The sequence below is a fragment of the Homo sapiens genome, chromosome 9 (assembly GCF_000001405.40).
Source record: "Homo sapiens chromosome 9, GRCh38.p14 Primary Assembly".
Lineage (NCBI taxonomy): Eukaryota > Metazoa > Chordata > Mammalia > Primates > Hominidae > Homo > Homo sapiens.
In genome coordinates, this window is record NC_000009.12 from 69,591,976 (window position 1) to 69,605,026 (window position 13,051).

The 13,051-nt window shown below is 40.3% G+C and overlaps 1 protein-coding gene across 4 annotated transcripts in view; it reads right to left on the minus strand.

Moving 5' to 3' along the window:
- The window catches only part of APBA1 (amyloid beta precursor protein binding family A member 1), a 245,482-nt gene that overhangs the window by 164,444 nt on the left and 67,987 nt on the right, over positions 1-13,051 (minus strand). The gene's annotated exons all lie outside the window — the stretch shown is intronic.

The following is a 13,051-nucleotide window of genomic DNA, read 5'->3' on the forward strand; positions in this document are numbered from 1 at the left end:
CAAACCAGGTCTTCAAGACATGCTCGTTTCCTAAGCTGACTTTGATAGGATGGGTGCTTTTACTCACAAAGATTGGTCCTCTCCTTACTTATCATTGCTGAAATCCATTTAACTGGGTTATTATGTTTTCTTGCTTGTATAATAAAAGTGATTTTTTCTACAGATACATTCATCATTTTCAATAATTAGAAAGTCATTTACCTAAATTACCCTCATTAGAATGCTGAACAGGAAATTGAAGTCCCTCCATATCTTATAGTCATAATATTTTACGATGTCTTCATTCTTATGGATCACAAAGCTCATGGTTTCTGTACCAAAGGAAGTGCTTTCTGGACCAGACAGAAGCAGTGGCTCTGCTTGTGATCCCAGTGCTTTGGGAGCCCAAGGCAGGAGGCTTGCTGAAGGCCAGGAGTTTGAAGCCAGCCTGGGTAACATAGTGAGGCGCTGTCGCTACAAAACATTTAAAAATCAGCAGGTTGTCGTGTTGAGCACCTGTATTCCTAGCAACTTGGGAGGCTGAGACGGGTGGATCCCTTGAGCCAGGAGTTCAAAGTTAAAGTGAGCTATGATCACGCCACTACATTCCAGTCTGGGCAACAGAGCAAGACCCTATCTCTTTAAAAATAAATAAAGAAATAAATAGTGGTTTCTGATGAGATCTGATGGTTTTATAAATGACAGTCTTTCCTATGCTCTCACGTGCTCACTCTTCTCTTGTCTGCTACCATGTAAGACATGCTTGCTTCCCCTTCCACCGTGATTGTAAGTTTCCTGAGGCTTCCCCAGCCATGCGGAACTCTGAGTCAACTAAACCTCTTTTCTTTATTAAAACAAACAAACAAAAAAAGAAGTAGTTTCTTATGTGAGCTTTTCTTCATATCATTAGGAATAAAATTGTCCTGAACCTGAAAACTGAACTATAAACAAGACTCAATACATTAATAGGAACTGAGGTTTTCTGTATACATAGGAATGTTATATCATTTTACCAAATTAAATGACGTAAAATGATAAAGGCTTCTGCAACAAAACAGTATTATAAAATGCCATATAAGAAACTTGCTAGTCATTCAAATACTGCAGAGTAATTATCACTGTTAGAAGTGGCTTTACAGTGTCTATACCTCATTCTATCATATCTTCCGAAGATAATGCATTTAAAATACAAAGTCAAAAGTTGCATTTCTGTTACATTTTTAAAATTTGCCCTTTGAAAGTCAAACAACAGACTGTATTTCTTTCTTCTTATCAGAATATTTGGAGGCTGATATAAATACACTTGTGCTTATCTGTGTCTAGTTATTTATAATCTCTAGGAAACATGACATTTTTCCTTCTAGAATTGGTTTTTAAAGCAGCAACCACACTATCATGCATATATGATACGGGGTTGCTTTGACAGGAAAAAGGCAATGTGTCATATTTCACTTGCTTAGACCTCCTCCAATCATAACTGAAAAGATATTCAAAGAATTATAACCGTAAGAATTACCAAACAACCGTCAACAAGGGGCTAAAAGAACATGAAGAAGACCCTGAGGGAGTGAGAGCTGAGGTTCATCTGTAAGCAGAAAACAGATGTAATATGTGGCTCAGGAAATTACAGGAGGCTAAAGTTGCCAGCACATGCCTGAAGCACAAGTATTATTTTTATGCACCAGTTTAGAAAACAATGAAGCAGAAAACAAAGCTTTGACCATTTGCTGAAAGGAAGTTTCAAATGAGGTCAATTCTTTCACATTCCCATTGATGCCAATGAAAATCAAAGTAGATAAGAGGTCCAGGATTAAAATAAAATTAAGCAAATACACAAAATCACTTTTCAAAAAGGAAACCTTTTATTAGCGTTTTTCATCCCTGAAAGATTTGTTATTTGTGAAATTTGTTCAGTGAAGCTCTCTTAAATGACTGCCCTTAAATGACTTTTGTGACCTTGATTACTCAACTTTTACTTAACTTTCTATAGATTCCAAGTTGGACTGAATGCATTTTTATTACATTTGCATAACAGCAGAGGCGTTGGATCTTCTGGCGTTAGATTCCGTAGGTCTTCTTTATTTATGCTGGGAACAAGTCTTGGCTCTTTCCTCCTCTTGACTTATCATATCGCTGAGTTGGGCCACAGGCTCTGGGTCTTCCTGCTGGTTCTGTCCAACTTTTCCCCTTGTAAACAGGCTCTGGGACCATCTATGTCATATCATGGCTGCAGCAACAGACAAGAGCCATGCTGCTCAAACTTCAATGTGCCTAAAATCACGGGGGTAGGGGGTGTCTTTAAAATGCAGATTATGATGCAGTAGGTTTGGATGGGGCCCAAGAGTCTGCCAAGTGTCGCTGATGCTGCTGTTCTGCACAGCTCACTTGAGTGACAAGGAACCAGGTTGTTTAATCAAGTTCTTGGGCCCCAGTCTCCTCTGGTGAGCCAACATGTCAAACCAGCTCTTGGACAAACAGGACTTCTTATCTATCCAGGTTACTATTTCCCATGAAACAGGTGATCAGAAGAAAGGTAAACTAAGGAATGTGAAGAGAATCAGGGAGTGAGGGAAAGGAAGGATGACATAAGATTTGGATGACATTATAGAGGAAGGGAGGTTGTGGTGAATATAATATTCTTGGGTACAACATGATTATATGATTATGATTGGGGATTATAATAATATATAGAAATAACCTGATTGAGGATTCTTGGTGAGAATATGAACAAAACCCTAACAAAAAAGGCACACGTGATTGACTGCCCAAAGAGTTCTGAACTACTTTCCATCCAACATTTGTAGTTCTTTTCTGATGAGTAGACATTACCCAAGCCAATCATACAACACTTTCTGGTGAAGAAGTGGTGGTTAAGAATAATGTTTTGGAGTCTGACAAGAGGTCAGAATCCTCTTGTTACTGTTACTAGTGTTAGGCAAGTTACCAAAGCTCTCTGGACATAAATTTTCTCATCTGTCAAATGAGATATTAACAACTACAATGTAGTGGTATGAATTAAATGAGAAATGTGGTATGAAGTACTTAATACAAAGATTGGCACAAAGTAAACCATCAATTCATATAAACTATTATAAATATTATTAAAAACAAAATACAGGTTCTACATACATGTATTGTTACAGTTCACTTTCAAGGTGATGATACTGGCAACAAGGAGATGAAAAAGTGAGGCTCAAATAAACTTTATATGAAAGCTGCCCGAGTGCCTGGGTAATATCTGTAATATTGCTGTCTGAAGCCTAATGCTAAACACCAAGCAGTCAATAAGTCAAAGAAATACCTGATATTTAATATTTTCAATCTCCTTTGACTTATCTTCTAGTTTAGTTTCCATGGGAATCTGTGCTTAGGGGCAACATCAAAAGCATACTGAAGAAAATCCACCTAGTTCCCAATGTGTGCCTTCCTGCTTATTAATGGAATTGTAGTTAATAGAATGGCACACACCTCTGAGATTGTCTGGTGCCCCCTGCTCTCCATGGCTTCGGACTATGTCACACTTCAAGAAATATTCTAGCGGATCTCTAACTCATAGCCCATTTTATATCCATTATTGTCAATCTGGCTCCACATCTCCCATGCAGAAAAGGGTATGATCTTCGTGATAACTGTTTCCTTTTGCATTCAAGGATAGAATATTTTTTATTTGTGGGTTCATACATGATTTTTCAGATGTTCGAAGTTGCTCAATCTAGCTATATCCACAGTGAGGCTAAATACCCTGGATCTCTTGGGATGGTAGTAAACGATAGTAGCAGGATGTCTAAGGAAACACCCTGAGGGAACTCAACAATTATCCTAATTGCAGTCTGAGGGTAGCTCTTTCAGTATCTAAGCTCTAAGCTCTGAAGAGACCTTCAGGTCAGGCACACCGGTTTTCAAACTGTGTTCTACAGCAATTCACGATCAGTGATGCTTCAGAGGGGAGGGAAGGCTGAACCAGTGAGACTCTAGACACCCCCACACAATCAGAGCAACTTCTTTATTGATTGATTGTTTTGTTTTTTTGCATCCCCCCCACCCCTTTTGGGAGACAAGGTCTAGTTCTGTCATCCAGGCTGGTGTGCAGTGGTGTGATCATAGCTCACTGTAATCTTTAACTCTTTGGCTCAAGGGATCTTCCCATTTCAGCCTCCCAAGTAGCTAGTACTACAGGCATGCAGAGCCACACCCTGCTAATTTTTAAATTTTTCTGTAGAGACAGTCTCGGTATGTTGCCCATGCTGGCATTGAACTCCTGGGCTCAAGTAATCCTCCTGCCTTGGTCTCCCAAACCCCTGAGATTATAGGTGTGAGCCACTGTGCCTGGCACTTTTTATCTATTTATATGTTGGGATTCTGCTGATATTTTTCTTTTACCCACTGATATGGAACTTTTATTCTTTCCAGGCATCTAAATCCTTTCATCTGATTTATCTGTGTATTCATTATGATGAGATTTAGCTACAAGTAACCAAGACACAGGCTCATGGCGAATGAACAAGATATATGTTTGTTTCTCTTTTATATAAAAATCCAGATTATGGCTAGCATAATAGTGCCAGCTATATGAGAGCAGACAGCTTATCCTTGCATCCAAGCTGGAGCTGCAGCCATCACACCCATGTTCCGAGCATGTTATTAATAGAAAGAAGGGTGCACATCATCCTTTAAGAAGACACCCCCTCTCCTCCACAGATGTTGCATTCTGTTTACATTTCATTGACTAGTACTTAGGCAATCTTCCCTATTCTGGTGCCACATATCCAACTAAATATTGGGAATTCTATACATCTAGAAGCAGAGGGCAGATACTAAAGGACACGATCTATCTTCTGTTGCAGTCTATCTTCAGCCCAGTCAACTGGTTGAAGGCTTGGATTATCTGATTTTCTGCATAGGTCTTCCTAAAACTAGCAGATTAGAAGTGGATGTGAAGACACCTTGAAAAGTGACAGCTGAAATGGTAGTGGCTACTGAATTACATGCAGCAGCTCCCAGCCATTTAGTGGGGGTGCAAATCAATATTTACAGTGCAACACTGACCTTGGTTATGGAGGAAAGGTTAAATTATGTTTGGCACATTCTGCTTGAGGCTGAAGGGACTAATACATTACAGAAAGATTCCCATTGACATGGGTAAAAGTTTTAAAAGACATTTAAAGTTGCATGCTTTATCAACTGAGAAATCTACTTATTTCTCCACATCCTCTCCAGCACCTGTTGTTTCCTGACTTTTTAATGATTGCCATTCTAACTGGTGTGAGATAGTATCTCATTGTGGTTTTGATTTGCATTTCTCTGATGGCCAGTGATGATAAGCATGTTTTCACGTGTCTTTTGGCTGCATAAATGTCTTCTTTTGAGAAGTGTCTGTTCATGTCCTTCTCCCACTTTTTGATGGGGTTGTTTTTTTCTTGTAAATTTGTTTGAGTTCATTGTAGATTCTGGATATTAGCCCTTTGTCAGATGGGTAGGTTGCGAAAATTGTCTCCCATTTTGTAGGTTGCCTGTTCACTCTGATGGTAGTTTCTTTTGCTGTGCAGAAGCTCTTTAGTTTAATTAGATCCCATTTGTCAATTTTGGCTTTTGCTGCCATTGCTTTTGGTGTTTTAGACATGAAGTCCTTGCCCATGCCTATGTCTTGAATGGTAATGCCTAGGTTTTCTTCTAGGGTTTTTATGGTTTTAGGTCTAACGTTTAAGTCTTTAATCCATCTTGAATTGATTTTTGTATAAGTTGTAAGGAAGGGATCCAGTTTCAGCTTTCTACATATGGCTAGCCAGTTTTCCCAGCACCATTTATTAAATAGGGAATCCTTTCCGCATTGCTTGTTTTTCTCAGGTTTGTCGAAGATAGGAACACTTTTACACTGTTGGTGGGACTGTAAACTAGTTCAACCCTTGTGGAAGTCAGTGTGGCGATTCCTCAGGGATCTAGAACTAGAAATACCATTTGGCCCAGCCATCCCATTACTGGGTATATACCCAAAGGACTATAAATCATGCTGCTATAAAGACACATGCACACGTATGTTTATTGCGGCATTATTCACAATAGCAAAGACTTGGAACCAACCCAAATGTCCAACAATGATAGACTGGATTAAGAAAATGTGGCACATATACACCATGGAATACTATGCAGCCATAAAAAATGATGAGTTCATGTCCTTTGTAGGGACATGGATGAAATTGGAAATCACCATTCTCAGTAAGCTATCACAAGAACAAAAACCAAACACTGCAAATTCTCACTCATAGGTGGGAATTGAACAATGAGATCACATGGACACAGGAAGGGGAATATCACACTCTGGGGACTGTGGTGGGGTGGGGGCACGGGGGAGGGATAGCATTGGGAGATATACCTAATGCTAGGTGACGAGTTAGTGGGTGCAGCGCACCAGCATGGCACATGTATACATATGTAACTAACCTGCACAATGTGCACATGTACCCTAAAACTTAAAGTATAATTAAAAAGTAAAAAAATTAAAAAAAAAAAAGAGAAATCTACTTGACACAGCACACCTCACTCCAGGTGGGCAGGTAATGACAGGTGTGGTCCTTCTGGGTCCCCAGTAGACTCTTTAAGGTGGGGGTGGTGGTGATAGGAAGCAGAGGGAAGGTGGCTCTCCTCTAGGTCCCTGCATCTTGAACAGAACCTGTATCTACTGAATGAATAAATAGACAAGGTTGGGGGCTCAAGATCCAGCTCTGCCTAAGGGCCTACAAGAGGACAAGGTTCTTGTAGGAATAGGAAGCAAGATCCACCTGTGGGGAGATGGAAAAGGTATCCAGACTAGCCTTGGGCCTGGAATACACCAGGAAATGGGTTTCAAGTTATAGTCCGCCATGAAGGAAGATTCTTGAAAGTCCAAGGATCAAGCTTTCTAACTTGATTTTGTTTTCAAGTGCTTTTTTTAGTTTATATTTCATTCATTGTTAGGGTATTTTTACTGCATTTTATAACTGTCTCAAAGTATCTTCAAAAATTAGTCTAAGCCAGTCACAAAAGGACAAATATTGTATGATTCCACCTATATGAGGAAGCTAGAGTAGTCAAATTCATAGAGCAAAAAGTAGAATTGGTGGTAGCCAGGGGCTGGGAAGAGAGGGAAAGGGGAAGTTGTTTAACGAGTTTGGAGTCTCAAGGTTACAAGATGAAGAGCTCTAAGGTCAGATAGTGCAGATGGCTGCACGACAATGTGAGCTGTGCACTTAATAATGGCTAAAATGGTAAATTTTATATTACATATATTTACCGCAATTTTAAAAACTAGTCTAAATTTTAATTGCATATATTAGAGAACTGCATTTCATTCCAACTGTCAATATTTGAAAAAGTGTTTTAGTCATTGCCTTTAACAACTTTGCAAATACTAGAAGTGGTTTTAAGCATTTCTTATTACTCATTCACAATAGTCAGTGTTCCCTCTGGGTCCTCAATGGGACTGAGGAGTTCCCACAATGTTCTAGGTGCTGTTCCTAACTGACTCACCAAACCAATTTCAAATTGTTCGGTAAAACACTCTCACATACTCCCTCCAATGCCAAACCACTCACCAGCACATTTAAACAAGCTTGCCAAAGTTTGATAATTCAAAAATTAGTAATTCATCAACCTAGTATCTACTGAAGTAGGGATTATAGAACTTTCACCAAAATTCTCTGAAACAGTGGTTCTCAAAGTGTGGCCCCTGGACCAGTAGCACCAGCAGTACCCAGGAATGTGTTGAAAGTGTGAATTCTCAGACACTATGCAGACCTCCTGAATCACAGCCAGAGGTCTGTGTTTTCCCAAGTCTTCTAGAGGATTCCGATGCAGACTAAAGTGTGAGAACCACTACTCTAAGGAGTCTATGGCTGCCAAATGTTAAGAACCAGCACATTCGCTCGAAGGGAGAGGACGATCAGGAGGCCAAAGTAAGTTTCTTTCTGGGGCTTCATGCGTTTTTACAAGACTGATTCAAAACAAGTCAAAGGTTCACTTTGCCCGGTAGCGTTTCTGCAAATATCTGATCTGAATACAGCCCTCATCTCACACCCAGAAACATGACCAAAGCTGCCCACACTAACTTGCTGTTTTGTCTAAGGGGAGCAGCTGCTATACTCCCTTCTTTCTAATCTGTTGCCTCCCTGGTAATGACCAGGAAGAGAGGCTATTTCAAAACTGTGCCTCCCATAAAAATTGGGACTCCTGTTAACTCCCCTCTCTCTGCCTTCAAGGAAATGCAAAGAAGGCAGGGAGAGCATAGGCTGTGGCCAAAAACAATTTCCGCTGACTATGGTGATGGCGATTCTGCAGAAACAGCACCATGGTTTAGGACCAGATGACCTTACTTCAAGTCCAGCTTCTGTCTCTTAGTAGCTGTGTGACCCCGAACCTTTGCTTCCTCATCTGTAAAATGGGAGTGGTATGGTTTTTGTGAGAGTTTGAAAAGATGTAAGCAGAAGCTCTTTATGAGAAAGCAGCCCCATGGTGACAGCCCAAGTCTAGCTCAACCACTTATCAGCTATGTGTAACTTTAGGCGAGTCTCTTCGTTTTTAAAATAGGGATGTTGGCTGGGTGTGGTGGCTCACATCTGTAACCTCAGCTTTGGGAGGGAGGTGGGTGGATCACCTGAGGTCAGGAGTTTGAGATCAGCCTGGCCAACATGGTGAAACCCTGTCTCTACTAAAAATAGAAAAATTAGCTGAGTGTGGAGGTACACACCTGTAATCCCAGCTACTCGGGGGGCTGAGGCAGGAGAATCGTTTGGACCTGGGAGGTGGAGGTTGCAGTGAGCCAAGATGTGTCACTGCACTCCCGCCTGGGCAACAGAGAAGACTTCGTCTCAAAAAATAATAATAAATAAATAAATAAATAAATAAATAAAATAAAATAAAAAATAAATAAAATATAAAAATAAAATAGGGATGTTAACTCATCCTCCACCTGGGAGGCTTAAATGAGATAATATAAATAAACAGCATAACATACTTGCTAACACACAATAAAAAATTCACAAATGTTTAATGGTAGTAGTAATAAAGCTTATAGCTATATAACTATCAGGTATCCCTAGTATAATTTTAGAATACAAAAAGAAAAGTTGATAATACAAGAGTATGTGCAGCAGATTCACATATTTTAATAACAAACAAGATGCAGGCTATTGAGATCATTTGTTTATTGTGAACAAGATAGAATAATTACTTTCCAGGAAAAGTTTCAAACACAAGAAGTTAATCTATTCCAAAGCCGAAAGAGCCTTAAACTCCCTTTTTGATCAGGAGGTCAGTTTTTTATTTCTCTCAACATAGTTGAGATACAATAAAGATAATATTAATTAGTATTCATGTAATAGTAAACACTCTTTTCAAACTAATTTCATATCTATCATTTGAGAGAAAATACAAGAAAATTGCCTGAAATATAGGAAGATATATTTTTAGAAGTCTACATGAACTTGTGCTAAAGAGGATGTAAAACCATTCCCACCACCATAACCTGCCTTTGCTGACTTGAAGGACCATAAAACTACTTGTTGGCAACTATTAAGTGGGTAAATTACATGAATTCTGACAAATCCTTGCAGATTAGTTGTCATAGTGTAGCTAAATGTTTCAAGAGATGGCATTAATCTGTTTTGACAAAGTTTGCTCTCTGCAGAGTAACAGATTCATAGGGACTTTAAACTGATTTAACAAGAGCATAGAATGAAAGAGTTGGAAAGATTGGAACCGAGACTGCCTGTGACAGAGGTATCTCCTCCATATTTAAAAAAATGTTCAAAAAGCATCACATTGCAGTCTCCTTTGGCAGTGCTTGAATCAAACAATCTCAATAGACAGGAACTTACTTTTATTTCTGACTCAGAAACAAAACTACTTTCCCGAAGAGAGTCTACTACATTTTCCCCTGTATTCCAACCCCTTCTAATACCAAACAATGCTCAGGCTCCATGGGCAACCTCAACTTCCTAAACTCAAAGATTTTTAACCAGATAACTACCAAGCCACACAATGAGTGACACACAGACCATGCTTTGAGAGAAACATTTACTCAGATGATTTGGTATAGAAAAACAACCATTCATACATTCAAAAGATATATTTTTTAAGCACCAACTATGACAATGGATAAGGCATATAATTTATTAATCCCTTCTTTTTTCATGTATTCTCTTTTTGCAATTTAAAAAAGTGAGATATAATTAACATTCCATCAGATTAAACCTTTTAAAATGTATAATTCAGTGGTTTTTAGTATGATCACATGGTTTTGCAACCATCACCACTAACTCAATCCAGCACATCTTCATCACCTCCAAAAGAAAACACATACCTGGCGGGGCGCGGTTGCTCAAGCCTGTAATCCCAGCACTTTGGGAGGACGAGGCGGGCGGATCATGAGGTCAGGAGATCAAGACCATCCTGCCTAACATGGTGAAACCCCGTCTCTACTAAAAATACAAACAATTAGCTGGGCATGGTGGCAGCCGCCTATAGTCCCAGCTACTTGGGAGGCTGAGGCAGGAGAATGGCATGAACCTGGGAGGTGGAGCGTGCAGTTTGCCAAGATCGCGCCACTGCATTCCAGCCTGGGTGACGGAGAGAGACTCTGTCTCATTAAAAAAAAAGAAGAAGAAGAAGAAAAAAGAAATCACAGACCTATTAGCAGTCACTCTCATTCTTCTATCTTCCACCCCAGCAAAAACTAATCTACTTTCTGTCTCTATAGCATTCTTCATTCTTGTTATTTTTGAGCACCTACTTGGCACCAGGCACCACTTTAGGCCCTGGGGGAGAGATTGGGAAACAAAATAGGCTATGAGTCTCCCCAGTGGAGTTTTTATTCTAGTGACTGCCTACATTTCACAAAATGAAAAACATTACATATTTAGAAATATAGAAATACATGCAAGAAAAAGAATATGCTTAATCTGGCAAACAAAAAAATACATACACACACATGACCATGAAAATATGCAAAACAGAGTCAATCATCTTTCTTATCAAAAGACTTTTGGCAGCAAATCAACATGTGGAATTTTCCCCTTTCTTTCCTTCTCCTGGTCCTCTGGGAGGGTAGTAAGGATGAAACTAAATAGCTAAAGAGAAAAAGACAAGTGATGCATGGCTGGAACCAGGGGCAAACGGGACAGTTAGCTCCAGAAGAATCAAAAGGTGTCTTCTCATCTTGCATTCACATGCCTTATGCCACAAACCACCATCTGAGCCCAATCACTGGCTGAAGACCTCAGATTTAAAACCAAAATAATAAATTTCTGACAAAGGCAAAACCGTCATCCAAAATGGCAGGTTACAACCAAAACTTCTGAGCCCCAGTCAATGATACCTTTATTTTAGGCAGAACAGGATAATGCAATTTCGCTTTGAATTTTTGGAAGAAAGAATGTGTGTAAATCTTAGAAGCTCACTGTAACAGGCTTTGCAGGCTTTGACCTCTTGGATGTGAAATATCCTGATCAGCTCACACTTCAAAATTTTTGCTGAAGCTCAGACAATCACTGCTCCAAAGTGACCAATCCCTGCTTTTTCTGTTATAAACTTGCTATAATCCCTAAGAGAGATAGTACAAAAAGTACATGGATATTGCCATATCTTTATACATAAATACTTCCCAATTTTATAAATTCAAACATAGGTCTACAGCTAAAAGTAAATGAAGAAAGAGAATTAGTGATTAAAGTGAATCTGTGAAACAGCTTCTTTGTTTGGCTCTAGTAGGCCATAAGGCCAAAGTGTTTTGGGTAACTAGAATAACCTTATAATTTATCATCCAAATGAAATACTCTTGAGAGTGAAAGCAGGCATCATTAACAATTATGCTGAGAGAGCAGACATAAACCTGGACAGTGCCAGACAAATGGGAATAGACGGACGGTCACCCTATGAACGAACATCATGCCCTCTCTAACAGAGAACGGCCTCTTCAGTCTGCCCCAGATTCTAGAGTCTAGAGGAGAGATCAGATACTGCAATATTACACAGTAGAAAATGCTAACTATTACAAAAAGAGAATCACTTATGATTGTTGTTTAATATTCCCCGGGTAAGCTCAAGTAAGCTTGAATTCTAAAAGCTTTTTAAAAACAAATCTGGAAACGCTGTACAAAGCAGTGTATAGTGAGGACAAGTCTCAAATCAGTAAGTGTGAGTATAATAGGTCAAAAGAAGTTGTTAGACAGCGTTTGTGGGGGGGTGTGCACATGAGTGTGGGCACGCATGCACACACTTGAGGGTAAGTGGAGAGGCACATGAGTGTGGGCACGCATATGAGGGTAAGTGGAGAGGCACACGGGTGTGGGCACGCATGCACACACATGAGGGTAAGTGGAGAGGCACATGAGTGTGGGCACACATGCACACACATGAGGGTAAGTGGAGAGGCACATGAGTGTGGGCACACATGCACACACTTGAGGGTAAGTGGAGAGGCACATGAGTGTGGGCACACATATATGAGAGTAAGTGGAGAGGCAAATGAGTGCGGGCACACATGCACACACATGAGGGTAAGTGGAGAGGCACATGAGTGTGGGCACATGCACACATGAGGGTAACAGGAGAGGCACACGAGTGTGGGCACACATGCACACACATGAGGATAAGTGGAGAGGCACACGGGTGTGGGCACACACATGAGGGTAAGTGGAGAGGCACATGAGTGCGGGCACACATGCACACATGAGGGTAAGAGGAGAGGCATATGAGCATGGGCACACATGCACGCACATGAGGGTAAGTGGAGAGGCACACGAGTGTGGGCACACATGCACACACATGAGGGTAAGCGGAGAAGCACATGGGTGTGGGCACACACATGAGGGTAAGTGGAGAGGCACATGAGTGTGGGCACACATGCACACATGAGGGTAAGAGGAGAGGCATATGAGCATGGGCACACATGTACGCACATGAGGGTAAGAGGAGAGGCACACGGGTATGGGCACACATGCACACACGTGAGGGTAAGTGGAGAGGCATGACAAGGAAGGAAGAGGTTGGAATAATTTCATTCTTTTACAAGAATTAATGAGAAATTCTTAAACATGCCAAT